The sequence below is a fragment of the Homo sapiens genome, chromosome 11, assembly GCF_000001405.40.
Source record: "Homo sapiens chromosome 11, GRCh38.p14 Primary Assembly".
NCBI lineage: Eukaryota > Metazoa > Chordata > Mammalia > Primates > Hominidae > Homo > Homo sapiens.
In genome coordinates, this window is record NC_000011.10 from 126,023,596 (window position 1) to 126,040,419 (window position 16,824).

At 38.9% G+C, this 16,824-nt stretch overlaps 1 protein-coding gene across 14 annotated transcripts in view; it reads right to left on the minus strand.

The window, feature by feature from the left end:
• Window positions 1-16,824, minus strand: part of CDON (cell adhesion associated, oncogene regulated) — a 106,515-nt gene that overhangs the window by 66,775 nt on the left and 22,916 nt on the right. The gene's annotated exons all lie outside the window — the stretch shown is intronic.

Below are 16,824 nucleotides of genomic sequence, written 5' to 3' on the forward strand. Positions count from 1 at the left end.
GAGCTGTGAGCATGACGGCTGCCATCTATTTTGAAAGCTCTGTGTAGAGTACGTCAAATACCAGGCACTTAATTATCCAGATCTTCCCAATTCACAGACTGATCTCTAGACACTAGAGCTAGAAGTTTTGCTCATTCTTCCAAGGTCCTAGGATATCTCCTACTACACAGAACTAATCACTCTGAATGAATACATTCAACTGCCTATAATGCATTTCTACTTACACATCTCACAAACATACAAAACTCAATGCAACCAACATGTATTCCTCTTTCACATCCCCTAAAATAGTAACTGTAAGGAAAACAACAAAATAATGGCTAACATTTACGGAGTGCTTACTATGTGCCAGACACCATTTCAGTGCTTTAATACACGAATTTAATCTTCACAACAACCCTGTGAGACAGGTACTACTGGTTTTTGTCCCTTTTTTCAGATGGAGGACTCCTGGCTCATGGATTGGTCAAGCACAGAGAATATCAAGGTCAGGCCTGTGTTGGGATTGGGCTTGGCACTATTGTGACAGTGGGATAAGCCAAGAAAAGGATAGTAATGGATGAAGCCAGAGAGGCAGGCTGGACCAGATCACATTCAGCTTTGAAGGCCATGGTAAAGATCGTGGGATTTATTCTAAATGCAAGAGCAAACCCTTAGAGGACACAGAGAAGGGGAATGATGTAATGTTATTTATGCTTTAAAAAGATCACTGGCTGAAGTGGAAAAGGGAGACTAAGCAGGACATACTGTAATCACCCCGGAGACAGATGAGGACACAGTGGTTACAACACTGAGTCAACCGTGGAGGTGGAGAAAAGTAGTTGGATTCAGAATATATTATAACGGTCGACCCAACAGGACATGTCAAAGGCTTGGATATAGAGTGTGGGACACAGATGTGTGAAGGATACACTTGGGTTTTGGTGACACAAAATAAATAATAGCCCTGTTTACTGAAATGGGGAAGACTAGAGGAGAGACAGAAGAGAGGGTTCATCACTGGTTCTGTTTTGGCCAAGGTAAGTCTGAGCTATCTATTAGACATCCAACTACTACTGTCAAGTCAACAGTTGCATGTGTGAGTGTGGAGCTGTAGGAAGAAGTCAGAGCTGGAAATGTAGATCTTAAACGTATGAACGCCTTGGCACTAGTTGAGCTCTAAGGAAAATATGTTTAGAGGACTGAGGAGAGGAGAAGAGATAAAACAGAAGAGCCTTGGAATACTCCAACCTTTAGAGATGGGAAGTAGCCAAGGACACTCAGCAGAGGTAGTGAATGAAACAGAAAGAAATCTATTTGTTCAGGGAGAATATAAGAAATATTTCTAGGCTGGGCACGGTGGCTCACATTTGTAATCCCAGCACTTTGGGAAGCTGAGGAAGGCGGATCACTTGAGGTCAGGAGTTTGAAACCAGCCTGGCCAACATGGTGAAACCCCGTTTCCACTAAAATTACAAAAATTAGCCGAGCCTGGTGGCATGCACCTGTAATCCCAGCTACTCGGGAGGCTGAGGCAGGACAATCGCTTGAACCTGGAAGGTGGAGGTTGCAGTGAGCCAAGATTGTGCCACTGCATTCCAGGCTGGGCAACAGAGCCAGACTCCATATCAAAAAAATAAAAATAAATTTAAAAAATAAGAAAAAGAAATATTTCTAGAAGAAGAGTGTGATCAATGGTCTCAAACATCGATGAGAAGCAGAGTAAGATGAGACACCATCAGAAAGGACTACTGAAGGTCATTGGTGGTATTGACAAGACTGGTTTCAGTGGAGAAAAGACAAAAGCGTGATGGTAGTTCAGGGTAGAATGGGAAGACAGGAAACAGAAAGCAGACACAGACACTTCCTTCCAGGGTTCTGCTATACAAAGGCAGCAGAAAAACAGGGAGAATTGCTGAAGACAAATGGTAGTCAAGAGATGGTTTGTTTGTGGGGGGTGTGTGTGTGTGTGTGTATTTTACTATAGAGACAGTATAGCACATTTGGTAAAACTAAAAAAGTTTCACAAAACCCAGCACTGGCAAGAATGTGAGCAAAAATCATTATCATATATATTGCTGGTGGAAACAAAATCAGTACATACTTTTTGGAGGCAGTCTGCTATTTCTATCAAAAATCATTTATGCAACAAATACTTATTGAATGCTTATCATATGCTAAGACTATCCTAGGAGGTGGGAATTGAGCAATTAAAAATGTATATATAAAAATAAGTAACAGACAAAAAATGTATACCATATATTCAAGTAGGAGAGATAGACAATATAAAAGATAAATAAAACTAGTAAAACTAACAATGTCCATGCCATTCTCCAGATATGGCCAATTCTTTCTCTTCTATGCTACCTCTACACCTGGGACATGCGTAACCACAGCACCCAATACTCTCTTATGTAACTTATCTGGTGACACAACTGTGACCTCTTTGAAGGCAACAATGACATCATATTTAGCTTTACAAAATTTTAGTGCCTAGCAGAAAGTAGCTTTTTCAAAAATGTTTCTTAAAATGAAAGGAATACAATAGAATGCAATTCCCAGAAGTACCTTAAGGACTAGTGTTTAGTGAGAACTGCCATCTCATCTGAATTTAGTATATTCTAGCTATATTGTTTATTCCTTCACTCACTTATTCATTCATATGTATAATTTTAAAAATCAACAAAAAATACAGTAAGTGCCTACTATATGCCAGGCACTATGCTAGACTAGGCTACTATGTCTGCGAATCCTGCCCCATGTTCCTGCTTAGCCAGGGCTAGACACTGGACCTACGACTATAGAATACAACAAAATCTAATGACTGTGCTACATTAATGACATTTTAGAAATGAGAATTTTATGTGCATTTTCATTCATGCAAAGAAAGGTTAATGCTAACCATTAATAAAATTAGGTAGTAATACAGAGGAAGGCACCTTAAGTACAGCTTTTAATAAATCAAATAGTATCTCCCAGAATCTGCTCACCTTCTCTATGCCAAGTACTCTAAAATCTAAAAGGTGCAAACTCAAGTTTCTCTAGCTCGTGGATATCAGGTTATGAATCTGCTTTTCCAGTTTTTTCTTGCTGACCTCCTTTAAAAAGTGGGAGAGGGACTACTGGCAATGACTCAGCGGCAGAAGAGTCCAGCTGTGTGAAAACTTTTTTGGTTTATTTGAATTCTCACTTGGTTCAAGGGTAAGAACTGACACACCACTGGAAAGCAGTCAAGGCAAAGTAAACATTCAAATAACTTGTTAACAGGAGACATTTTCCTGAGAGAATGAGGACAAGAAGGATTGTTTCTTCCTTTTGCCAAATCTTTCAGCTATTTATTTATTAAAAAGCAGTGAAACAAATTTCAGAGTCAACTTTAACCCTAGTGCATGACCTACTCAGTGACTTTATAGTTGTCCTTGAAAGTTTCACAGCTCATTACAGCTACCTAAATATTATCACACAGGAATCTTCTTTATTAAGTCTATCTTTCTATTGGGTTACTCTCTACGTGCTCTCAGTTGATTTTGGAAGTTGGAAAGAACCTATGGCCAGAAAAGGCATTTACTAAACACGTGTTGGCTTGGTTTACATGTACCCAAGGCAAGCCTGCTCAGTTTGTTAAAGAGCTGTGATAATGACAACAAGGAGTTGGATTCTGCTGTTTTATGGAGTTGGGTAGCTCGACATTAGAGTCAACAGCCAGTAACAGCACCCCAGGCCCAACCTCACAAATAAACATTACTGACCACACAAAGTTTAGATACGCAGAAATCACAGTATATCCATTAGTACTACTGGAAAATCTTTCAATGGTACATCATTTTCAAAAGTACTATCTTTATCAAAAAAGAAACCCTTAATATTAGTGTTATGGTTATTTAACTAGTAAGTTATTAGAAAACCAAATATATAATTTATTCATATGTGTGTGTATATATACATGCAAATGCATGTGTGTGTACTTAAGTTCCCCTACATTGCTCTGGCAAATAAACACAATTTTGTTTGACAAAGTTTACCATAACTAAACAGGTTTCTGCCATCTTCTTATTCACAAGTCAGCGGCCTTAATGTATAAGTCATTTTTCTCACCTACAGAAATTGACCTTGGCAAGGGAGACAATAACCCTAATTTCCTCTACATAGTTGTTATCCCATCCTCCTTATCTTTTCTTTCAATCTGGAAATAATGACCAGCAGAGAAAACAATCCATGATAAGGACAACCATCCTACTCTACACCACACATAACATGGGCACATTACTTGCCAAACGTGCTTAACCTCTGTTCTAGTGAACATAACATTCAAATCTCCTCATGTAAAAATTTAAAACAGAATTCTGATTTAAATCATGTCAGATAGAATAGAATTCTGACTTAAATCACTCTGCCTTTTTTTTTTTTTTTTTTTACTTTAGGGTTACTTTTATTTTGAATTTTTTTAAAGCACTCTATGTTGTCAACATAATGCCTGGTGATATTTTAAACAAAATATTCAAGTTTTCTTCGCATATTTTATATGTCGGTTTTACAAGAATTGCTAAATTTCTATGAATACTCATCCGAAAAAAGTACACATTCAATACAGAATGTGCAGAAAATACATAAACGTATAAAAAGGAAAGTAAACACGACAATCTCGCCACCTATAGATAGCATGTCAACATTCTGATGCACTTCCTTCTCATCTTTTTCATATATGTGGTGTACGGTATTTACATAATTGTGATAATACATGTTAGGGTTTTAAATGCTTTAATTTATTATTTAGTGATCATTTTTCCTTATTAAAATTCTTTTTTTTTTGAGATGGAATCTTGCTGTCACCCAGGCTGGAGTGCAGTGGCATGATCTTGGCTCACTGCAGCCTCCGCCTCCCAGGTTCAAGCGACTCTCTGCCTCAGCCTCCCAAGTAGCTGGGATTACAGGCACGTGCCAACATGCCTGGTTAATTTTTGTATTTTTAGTAGAGATCGGGTTTTGCCATGTTGGCCAGGTTGGTCTCGAACTCCTGGCCTCAAGCAATCCACCTGCCTCAGCCTCCCAAAGTGCTAGGATTACAGGCATGAGCCACTGCTCCTGGCCCTTATTAAAATTCTTCATAAATAAAACTTTTAACAGCTGCGGAGAATTTATTTATTTATTTATTTATTTATTTATTTATTTATTATGTCTTGTATTTTAGTCTACTTAACCATTCTCTTTTGGATAGTTAGGCTACATTTTTATATATGTGTATATGTATGTGTGTGTGTGTATATATATATATATGTTACTTTTTTGCTATTCTAGATAACACTCTATGAATATTTTGTCCATAAATCTTAAACCACTCTTCTAATTATGCCCTTAGGACATTTTTAGGAATAGAATTATTGGATCAGGGAGTGCAAACATTTTCAAGACTCTTAATACATATTGTCAAGTCGTGTTCCAAAAAGAGGCCCCCAATAGCCAACCCCATCCCTCACAACCAAAATTGGCACATGAAGGTAACTCCCCATCACTGACATATGGTTTAGATCCTCACACTGTGGTAAGCAAAGTGTGGATACGAATCTTGACTTTGAGTAATGAACTAAAATACTTGCTAAGGCATAAAGCAACTTTCACTCTCTATTAGGGATTTTTTTAAACAATATTCTAAAGTTACATAAAAGTAACTGGAAAAAGAATGTAAGGCATGGGCATTGCAGGCCATATTCATCAAACCTTGTCAATCCTTGAACTTCCAATGACAAAAAACAACGTGGACACAAAATCTCGCTTTTTACCCATAATCTATTATATAGTAGAATAAGGAGTTACTGTCATTACACCGTGTGGTTTTAACTCATTACACATGTTTCTCAAAATAAATTTGTATGCAAAAATTGCTGACACTCTAAGGGAATATTTGCTGACATTCAAAACAGTAAATTGCCATTCATTTCAAAACCGTATTCTCCCTTTCTTACTGCTTTTCTTGTCCATGTAACATATATATATATATATGTATCTCTATTTCCCTAATCTACTAGAGGTAATAAAATCAGTGAAGAGGTTAGAATTTGAATTTGATTCCTTATGTGAAAAACAGAAGTGACGGGCTCATCGAACCCAGTGGTCTCAAATGGAATTAGCATGACCACGAGAAAGTTCTTCCATCTCCTTCCCATCTTCATATAAAGCTAGTGGCCAACACAATTCCATTCTTTTCACCGACATTCTGAGTGGGTGATTTGTCTGAGAAGATGCTTAGTGGTCCCTTTGCTCTCAGGAAAGCGCCTGGTAGTACAGTCTCTCCGGAAAAAGATTGTAGAACATGCACACACACAAACACACAAAATGCAGCTAAGTGTAGTAAAACCATTAAACCATCTACAAAGCAGGACAACTTATTGCTCAATGCTGTAAAAATCTCTGGAGGCTCCCCAGTCTCATGTGGCACAAGTACTGCTCCCAAAGTCCAAATGTCACTAAACAACAGCTGGTGTTTCCTAAGTTATAAGGCTTTCTTTAAGCCTTTCTCCCACATCCACATAGAAGGCAATCTGTCCTATAAGCTCTACTTTATATGCCATGCCAAGCTTAGAGCATTTCTGTGGGCAGAGGGAAGCTAAAGGTATACCTCATCTTAGAATAAGAAAGGAAATACTTTCCTAACGTTTACTTAACTTATTGTTCAGGTTGTGAACTTATTGCTTTTATAACCCCTTTTCAACATGCTGCCAGAATAATCCTTTGGGAAAAGTCTTTCCTGAATTTCTAGATTTGATTACTTTGTTTTTGAAGCAACGCCTTTGCTTTCATAAGGATGATGAAGGCTGTCTTTCTGAATCATTCCTCTTCCTAGCCTCCTATTTCAAACTTTCTTGTAGTTTTCTTTCAAGCTTAGGAAATAACTGTGATTAATTTGTGAACAAAAACTTGGCTTTGAGATCAGTTATAGTTCTTCAAAATAGGAAATTATTTAAGTTAGATTCCGTTTTTTAAAAAGAATCTTATTCTGTATGAAACATGGTAATTTCCTTTTTTAAAACAATGATTCATCTCGATTTTCAAACAATCTATCTCAAAATATGCTATTGATCAGCTAAGAAAAAATTATTTTCAGAACTACAAAGAAAAACTAAAACATGTCTACTTAAAAATTCTTCATTAAGTACTATCAAGATTAGTGCAGTCCAATTTCAATTATGGAAGTCAAATATAGTATATACTGTTTTTTAACCCATTGGGCTACCTTGACCTTAACCACAGGCAACTTTAAATCTCCTGTCAGTTTTCTTCATTCTGAATATTTAATTTAACTAAGAAGTTAACATCATTTCCTACACAAACTTCTCAAATAACTCTGCTTTTCAAGTAAGTATTCATTCAATCAAACCATTTAATACATAGAACATCTACTTTGGGCAAGAACCTATGAGGGGTGCAAAGATATACCAAACTAAAGGAAACTGCTCAACTAAGAAGGGCACGAACATAATTATCTCCAGAATAAAGAAAAAAGTCTTAAATGCAATAAGAGAGTAAAAAGTATTGAAAGAGTTCAAAGCAGAGGAATTCATCTTTTATTCAGTAAATACTTGGTGCATGCTTACTATATACCAGGCACTGAGCTATCCTGGAAACTCAACCATGAATAAAAGAGACACAGTGTCTGCCCACATGAGGCTTACAACCAGGTGAGGACATGTGACAAGTAAGGAAGCAATTAAAATACAGACTCGTCTAACATGGGAATGGCTCAGATAGCAACTTTTTGCAATAATGGCTCTTAGAAAGTTATTTCACTTTTTTTAAAATACAGCTTCGTTTTATTCAGTACAACTTTTCCAATCAGAAACTAAAGAAAACACTCTAAAAAGTGATATTATAGCTTCAGGCAAAGCTGCACACACCAATTTATATAATACCACAGTTTTTAGACTTTACACCACGTCACGTAGAAAAAAGTGAATTGCTTGCTGTGTTTGGATGACCTCAAACATTGTGCTTTGTGTTCAGATGCCAACTGAGGGGGAGGACAGTGGGCATTCTCCTGATCTTCTGTGAGATTCCACTAATTAGTGAGATTCTACTAATCTTCTGTCTGCAGTGTGTGTGCACCATTTCCGCGAGTTGTGAAACACTCTTGTGTTGAGCTTTTGTTTTGCCATAAGGTGATTTTAAGTGCTTTTATTTTCTAAGTGCAGTTTGAATGCGAGGTAACTACGAGCCTTAAGATGACTTCCAGTGTCCAAAAATCCATTTCCTGACTCTACACCACCCGTGAAGGAATTGCTCACCATTCCTCTTTCACCAGCCTCAAGGCTTCTCTTCCTCCTTTGACAAGCATAATAAACTCAGTGCATTTTATTTAAGAACAAACTGGATTTATTTACTTTTAAAGTATCTTTTACCATCTCTACAAATGTGCTTTCACTGCTCCATTGACATGTTTTTCTATCTGTGAAATCTGGCTATCTTGGATTGGGACAGAACATATCATGACTCTTTCCATGAAAAGCAATAGACATGCTTTACACTAAAAGGCAGAATTTTTAGGAAATAAAGGTTTTCAGAGATTAAAGCAGTTACATGAGAAAGGGACAGGTAAGCAACAGAATAAAGCAAATACAGGTGCTCCAGGAAAAAGAGAAGGCTCACTTAACCTAGATTTGTACTTGGAGAGGTGAAGACTTCTCAGAGGAAACAACTGACTAGGTGAAATCAGAGGGATACGTTTGGGGGATGGAGTAGAGGAAGGGAGGAAGAGAAGGAAGGAAGTATCTCAAGCAGAAGGAACAGTGTGTTTGTAGAATCAGAGTAAGGATGTCTGGGCTGGAAAATACAGTAAGAAGAGAAGGATAAGACACAGTGAGGGGAAAGCAACATAAATGAGCAGAAACAAGAGTGTAAAGAACAATATAAATCATATTAAAGTGTTTGGCTTTTATTCTGAGAGGAGGGTGTCAAAGGCTTTTAAGCAGGCAAGGACATGATCAGTCCCGTACCTTTGAAAAATCGCTGACACTGCAATGTGGAAAACAGTTGAGGATAAGAGAAGTTAGAAGGCTATGGTGAGAGATACGGGGACCTGTACTGGAGAAATATCACGGGATAAATTTGAAAGGTTTTTCAAAAATTTTTAAGACACGGTCATATTTAAAAGACGTAAGAGGCCAGGAGCGGTGGCATACACCTATAATCCCAGCACTTTGGGAGGCCAAGGTGGGTGGATCACTTGAGCACAGAAATTCCAAGACCAGCCTGGGCAACATAGGGAGATCCCATCTCTACCAAAAATACAAAAATTATCCAGGTGTGGTGGTGCACACCTGTAGTCCCAGCTACTTGGGAGGATGAGGTGGGAGGATCCCTGGAGCCCAGGAGGTTGAGGCTGCAGTGAGCTATGATCGCACCACTGTACTCCTAGCCTGGGTGACAGAGTGAGGCCCTGTGATCAACAGGACTTTGATAATGAATGAGTTGGACTGGAAAAGAATAGACCACTAGGACCTAGGACATCTTTGGAATCCATTCATCTGTCCACTGCTCTATTTCCCCACTGCTGTGACTGTAAATAAGGAATCGAGGCTGCTGTCCAGACTTCTGACTCAGACAAGTGAGTGAGTGGATGATGTGCATTTACTGAGATGGGAGCAGCAGGGTCTTCTGTGGTCTGCTGCTGCTGTTTGAGGTGGTAGAGGGAATGGAGAGCGTCTGAAGGTGTGGAGATAACAAGAGGAGCTGGAGGTAAGTGGGGTTCTAAGGAAGGTTGGGCAGGCAAGCAGAAAGAAGCCTGAAGCTCTTAAGAGATTTGGGTCGCAGATGACACTCTGGTGGGCAACAGCAGACACACGGAACTATGGCTCAGGCTGAATCCCAAAACTATCATGCTTGAAGGGACAGAAACTCCTCATTCAAAATAAACCACACTATCAATACTACTAATGAAAAAGTTTTAAAGCAAAAAAAAGGAAAAGACAGAAATGATATTCCAGGGATGGAGTCAAACAGTCAGACTTTAAAAATGAGTTTCTTAATGTGATTTAATTTCACATTTCACACTGTTATACCTTTCCAAGGTACTACAGTGTAGGGTAATCAGACACATTCCTTCATGCTTACTAAAGGCTTTGATTAGGGACGGTCTTCATGCTGTCCACAGGGGTTCTCCCAAAATGAGAGTAACAGCTGGCATACATCTTCCATGATTCTACAGGAGGAAAGGAGAGGCAAACAGAGTGCTACAAGTCTAGTCGCAACAAACATACTATCTAATAGCATGCTACTCTCTGGGGCGTATGGGGGTTCTTTTAGAAACTTAAGAATTTCTTAAAGCAGTCATGTGCAATTAACAATGATGTATCTTCTGACCTGCCGCATCACTCCCAGTCCATAGGAGGAACATATAAATCTCATCAAAGTAAAGTTGCAGGATCTCAGACACCAAGGCCCCCTGCCAATCACTGGGAGTGCTCTCTTCCTGCCAGGATGAAGCCCCTGGGTGTGAAATGCAGCTTTCCACAGTACTTACTTTATAAGCACTTATTAATGATCGTGCAATCATTCAGATCAACTTAAAAAAAAAAAAGTTCACACCTACAGACTTCGCAACCCTTCCCCCACTTCTCCCAAGTCTCAGTCGAGTCAGCCAAGCATACAAACGATCCTGCTGCCTGCGAAAGCATTTCCTTTCACCGTGGACTGCCAAAAGTAGAGGAAGAAAATGGAAGTGACTTGGAGTTATGGCACCAAAAAGGCCAAATGAGCAAAGAAATAATCAACTCCACATGAGCCTCTTCAGCTCCAACACAATGAAAAGGGCCCAGGACGAACCCCAGGAAAGGTCACTGAGATCAAGGGTCACACGCAGAAAAAGGCAACAGTGAGGGGCTGCCAGCTGCAACAGGAATCAATGTGGTCCTAATTACACCAAAGGAGAGGGGGCAAAAGCTCAGTTAGGTTCTATTCACAATATTTGTGTGTTTAAAAAAAAAAGTCAAGTGTTCCTGTTCCACTCTCTTTCTAAGAGACTATTTCTTCCTGCCACTAGAGCACAGGAAGCCAAGAATTGTGAAGATAATCCTGGCATCCACAGTGGGTTGTACAGGAGCATTATAAATATTTAAAAGCATAGCTGCATACAAATGGTGAAATTCTAAAAAGCAGCGTGAGAGAGATTATTAAAAAGACAAAATATAGAAAATTTCAAGGGGATTATTTTGCAAGTCCCATGGAGTCAACACTTCCACAAATCCAGCACTTGGTAGCTTTTCAAGTTTGTCACTGGAATTGGCTTTATGGGAAAAAATAACCGTTATGGTAACCACAAAACAAATGCTAAAAGCTAAGTTTGCTAAGAACTAGCTATTGCAAAGATGTAGACACACATTTGACTAACTTCTGCTGGAGGATGAGCAGGAGGAATATGGAAACATTTGAAAAAGTGCCCCATATAGGTGTTAGGTAATATAATTAACGTAGTTGTTAACAGGTCCAGCGCTTTGCTTAGACCCTACTGACTTATGCACTGGACTAACCTAAGTATAAGAGTTTCCCTGGCAGTTACAAAAGACTCACCCTCATGGGGTTTGGCTTAGATTCCATTTTAATAACAAGGAAAAAATCCTCAAGGAGAAACTCATTTCCATGAAGTACATTATTCAAATATACACAGTCAAGCATTGAAAAGGCAGATAAGAAAAAAACAAATCTTGGAAAAGGATCTTTGCTGCAAATAAACTTGAATCAACGCTGGCTGAACACTGGGTCTCTGCCACAATGACTTTTACATTATCTTACCGTCAAGTTACGAGTTTCCTAGAGACCTAGAACATATTAATACTAGTTTCCAAGTACCTTATTCCATCTTTAAACTTGGCCACATAAAATAATGGAAGAAATCTAGATTTCTTATCAGCCCCTGCTTTGTTCAAACTGGTAATGGGAATTAGGTCAGACACAGCTTCATCAAAGCTGTCATCCTACCATGGAAGAGAGGCTGTGCATTGATAAAGGGGTTCTTCAAGCACATTCATAAGCTGACATACAAGTCAATCACAGATTACTATGCAGTTAGTACATAATTGGCACCAATTGACTGACAAGTCTAAAATTAAGTAAAAACACAAATTGGCCTATGTCAGGAAAACCTGCACCCTTGAAAACTCAAAATCAGTGCCAGGCAGTTAAAACCAAAGTAACCATCAGGATACAATGCCCTGATGAAACTAGAAAATAGAAAAACAAATCAATTAGGATCACAATATCTTTGTAAACATAACACAACATAGCATGAAGTTTTAGTCCAAGCAGAAAAGCCCGAGAAGTGGCCTTTGGCATCAGGTCCGGCCTGACTATCAAAAATAAAGCAAAGTTTGTTGGAACAACTCTGCTAGGCCACACATGCACGAAGCGGCAGTGGCCAGATTGTAACACAACACTGGCAGGATGGTCAAAGAAATAATTCACAGACACTGATACAGAAAAGGTACATACACACACATATAAATACACACATATGTATACATACTACTAAAAAAACACAGCCGCAGATAGACCCAACCTGGAACCCAGATAAAACTTATTCCAATGATGCTTCTCTGTGCAAAACATAATCCCTTATTAATTATTTTTGGTATCAATGTATAAAGCAGGCATGAATATTCTCATTATGATTACATCTGATTTTTAAACACATATAGTCTTAACTCCAACATTATGACCCAATTTATTCATTAATGACTATTTCCAAAAAATCAATTTCCAAAAAATCAAGAACATCAAACACTTTCTTTAATGTACCACAAGCAATAAAGGTAATTTTAAAAGGACTCCAAATTTCTTGGCACAACAAGAGTAACAAGAGATTAAATATGCAGTTTCCCAAGGTAACTGGCTTCTTTAAAGAAACAATTCTCATGTATAAGTCTTGGCATAGTTCTTAAGGCTTTTGTATTATACTATACTCATATTTCATAGTCAAACAATAACAGACCCTATGTTTATAGAATACATTTCTACCTGTATATACCCTTGTAGGCCTCACTCTTCTTTGAAGGACTTGTCATTGTGGACTTCTGTGCACAACATGAGGGTTTCTTTTGTTTTTAGTGAGTTTTCTTAAAACGTACAACTTTACTCATGTTGTTTTTTTGAGACAGGGTCTCGCTCTGCTGCCCGGACTGGAGTGCAGTGGTGCAATCATGGCTCACTGCAACCTCTGCCTCCTGGGCTTAAGTGATCCTCTCACCTTAACCTCCCAAGTGGCTGGCACCACAGGCGCAAGCCATCACGCCCAGCTGATTCTTCCACTTTTTGTAGAGACAGGGTCTCACATGTTGCCCAAGCTGGTCTCAAACTCCTGGCCTCAATCGATCTGCCTGCCTCAGCCGCCCAAAGTGCTGGGATTACAGGCATGTGAGCCACCATACCCAGCCTACAACTTTATTCTTTATATAACATCATATAACTAATTTGAGTCTGAGGATTATAAGAATGCTGGGGGATGGATCCTTAATTTTCTAAAATCTCTTCATTCAACCCATTTTCTTTCTTTTTTTTTTTGGAAGATGGAGTCTCTCTCTGTTGCCCAGGCTGGAGTGCAGTGACACAATTATGGCTCACTGCAGCCTTGACCTCCCTGGGTTCAGGCGATCCTCCCACCTCAGCCTCCCGAGTAGCTGGACCACAGGTGTGCACCACCATGCTCGGCTAATTTTTGTATTTTTAGTAGAGATGGGTTTCACCACGTTGGCCAGGCTGGTCTTGAACTTCTGATCTCAAGGGCTCTGCCCACCTTAGCCTCCCAAAGTGCTAGGATTACAGGCGTGACCCACTGCACCCAGCCCATTCAACCCATTTTCTAAGGACAGACTATGAGTGGGGTTGGAATCTACAACCTAAAACTGCAAAGAGCAGTTTTTCATTCATTTATAGAGCAAAAATATATTGAGTACCTATATTCAAAGTAGTTAGGGAACAAATATGGGTGGGGGATAAAGCAGAATAAAATAACAGAGACCTTGACCTCATTTCTTAAAACACTCAATCTCTGACATCTTCAACTCTTGTATAGCAATTCATAAGCAATTGAATTTAAAACTTTTTTGGTATAAAAAAGTTTCAAAACATGACAGGATCCCTAATTTTCTAAAACAATATATTTAAAACAAAATTATCAGTTGGTAGTCTAAATGGATTTATCTCCTTTTCCCAGAGTATGATAGGCAGAACACTTACTTAGTATGGCTTAGGTTCTGTCTGCAAAAGGAAAAAAAACTCCACAGTTTTTTTCCAGCTTTGGAATTCTATGACAAATATTTACAACTGCTATGTGTAAATGAAAAAACACACAAACACTTAAAAGTTTATCTTACACTATAGTTTTGCCTCATCTATGGCAGGCTCCAAAAATGACTGCACTAAGAGGAAAGGGGGAAAAAACAGCAAAGATATCCAAAGTCGACAAAATTTCAGCTCTAAACATTTAAGTTCATCACTTCAGTTTGCAAGCAAAAAGACTGTTCATGTTCAGTCAAAAAAATCAAAAAGCTAAGTTAAAAAGAAAAAAAACAGTAGGAGACGTGAAGTTCAGTTTCATTCTAAGAACCTGGAGAGGCGGGCCTTTCACTTTACATTCAGGTAAAGAATTTGCAGAAATTTCCCTAGCCAACTTTACTTTGTGAACGTCACAGCCACTGTCAAACAATCATTGAGGTATCTGTAGAATTCTGGAAAGACTGTCAGAAATATGTATACAGTAGAAGAGATAGGTCTTCTCATGAAGACTCAGTATTTATCTTAAAAAAAGAATCTCAGGCTTGACATGGTGGCTCACGCCTGCAATCCCAGCACTTAGGGGGGCCGAGGCAGGAGGATCACCTGAGGTCAGGAGTTCGAGACCAGCCTGGCCAACATGGTGAAAACGTGTCTCTACTAAAAATACAAAAATTAGCTGGGCATGGTGGCGGGCACCTGTAATCCCAGCTACTCGGGACGCTGAGGCAGGAGAATCGCTTGAACCCAGGAGGCAGAGGTTGCAGTGAGCGGAGACTGTCCCACTGCACTCCAGCCTGGGCAACAGGAGCGAAACTCCGTCTCAAAATAAAAAAAAAAAAAGAATCTCTGGTTATGAACAAAGAGCATTTCCAATTTGAAAACTATTTAGTTGCAAAGTGTTCCAAGAACTTACGTTTTAAGATGTTTCATAACTCCACATAAACATCTTTCTCTCTTCCTAGCTTCCCTGCCAACATAAGTAAGTACCTCAAGAGTAAAGGATCAGATGGCAAGTGTAGGTATTCCAAAACATAAGAAATAATTTTGTTGATTTAAATTACCTTCTTTGCTTGAACAGCCTCGGGGTGCAAATAAAACATATTACTAATTAAAAGAGCCAACAGTAGTACTAATAAAACATCAACAAAGCAGCTTTTATATAGACAGAGGCTTTTAGGTACTCGCCTCCTAACCTCAGTACATGGAACAATGAATGTGCCCCTAAAACGAAGAGAGCTATTTCCATTTCTGTTGGAGAAGAATAAAAAGCCAACTTAAGTCTATGGCTGGAGAGAGAGAACCCTACTTGATACTGAGGCATCACAAAAACTTGGGCATAAATCTTACAGGTGAAGAAGCATCTAGCATGAGAAACAGCACAGAAACCATTTTCCAAGACAGATAATTGTACATAGGTCATTTTACTCAATGGAAACTATAGCAATGGTTCCCAAACTTTGGGATTTTAATAAACAGAAAATTTACAAACAAAACAGCTATATATCCTATGTAAGCTTTCCAAAATCTGCCCTAAAAACATTTTTTAAAAATTAGTCACTGCCATCTACTATTGGTATTTCATTAGAAAACAAAGTAGTAAGCAAGAAGTAATTTCAGTATAAATGCAGCTTAAGTTTTTTGGTTAGCTGCTTCTCATTTCACTCCAGACGAATATAAAACCTTCATTAAAGATCATGCTGGTTCAAAGATCAGTGTCAAAAAACAACTAATCTAGAGACTTAACATTTTCACTGTCTTAAATCAGTAGGATTATACTACAACTGCTCAACACCACACATTTGGCTATGAAACAGGCTGAGTCATCTGTAAACGCAGGTATTCCTCAGCTCTTCATCCTCAGTGTCAGCCAATGGTCTCCCTAAAGCAGCATTATCACTCTTCTCAGCAGTGACAGGTTTCTGCCACTCAAAAAGACCCAATGTGTCTCAGAGTCCCATCCCTGTCTTCTTAAGCTTCCCCTCCAAAATAAGCCGAACTCTTAGACCTTGCTGGGAAGCTGATGTCTCAGAGGCAGGACCCTTATCACAAGCAGCCCTACATTCCACTCGAAACCCCCCATTGCCCCCTTGCTCGCTCTCAGCACACTGCTCTCCAACATCATGTTTTAAAACTGTTTTCCTTCCGCACTTATGGCCTTCACTTTCATTTTAATCTGATTTCCCCTGTGTAAAAATCATAGCCAAGGAAGGGTCATGAACGGACAGAGCAGATGATCCTACCTGACTCACTATACTCAAATAAATAAATAAATAAGTAAAAGAGCTAGACTAGCTTACTCACAGGTCACATAAATGCAAAAAAGGTCTTTGGGAACAGAGGGCCGGGGGGTATATGGGATATCCCTGTACCTTCCACTCAGTTTTGCCGTGAATCTAAAATTGCTCTAAAAAATAACTTTTTAAAAAATTTCTAGAGGAACTAGATTAACCACTAGTTTGTCAGTTCCATAAGAAACGGGACCTTGTCTATTTTGCTCATCACTGTACAGACACCACCTGGGAAATACCTTGCACAAAATGAGTGCTTAGTAAATTGTGATAAATGAAAGAACTTACACTGTGAGAAACT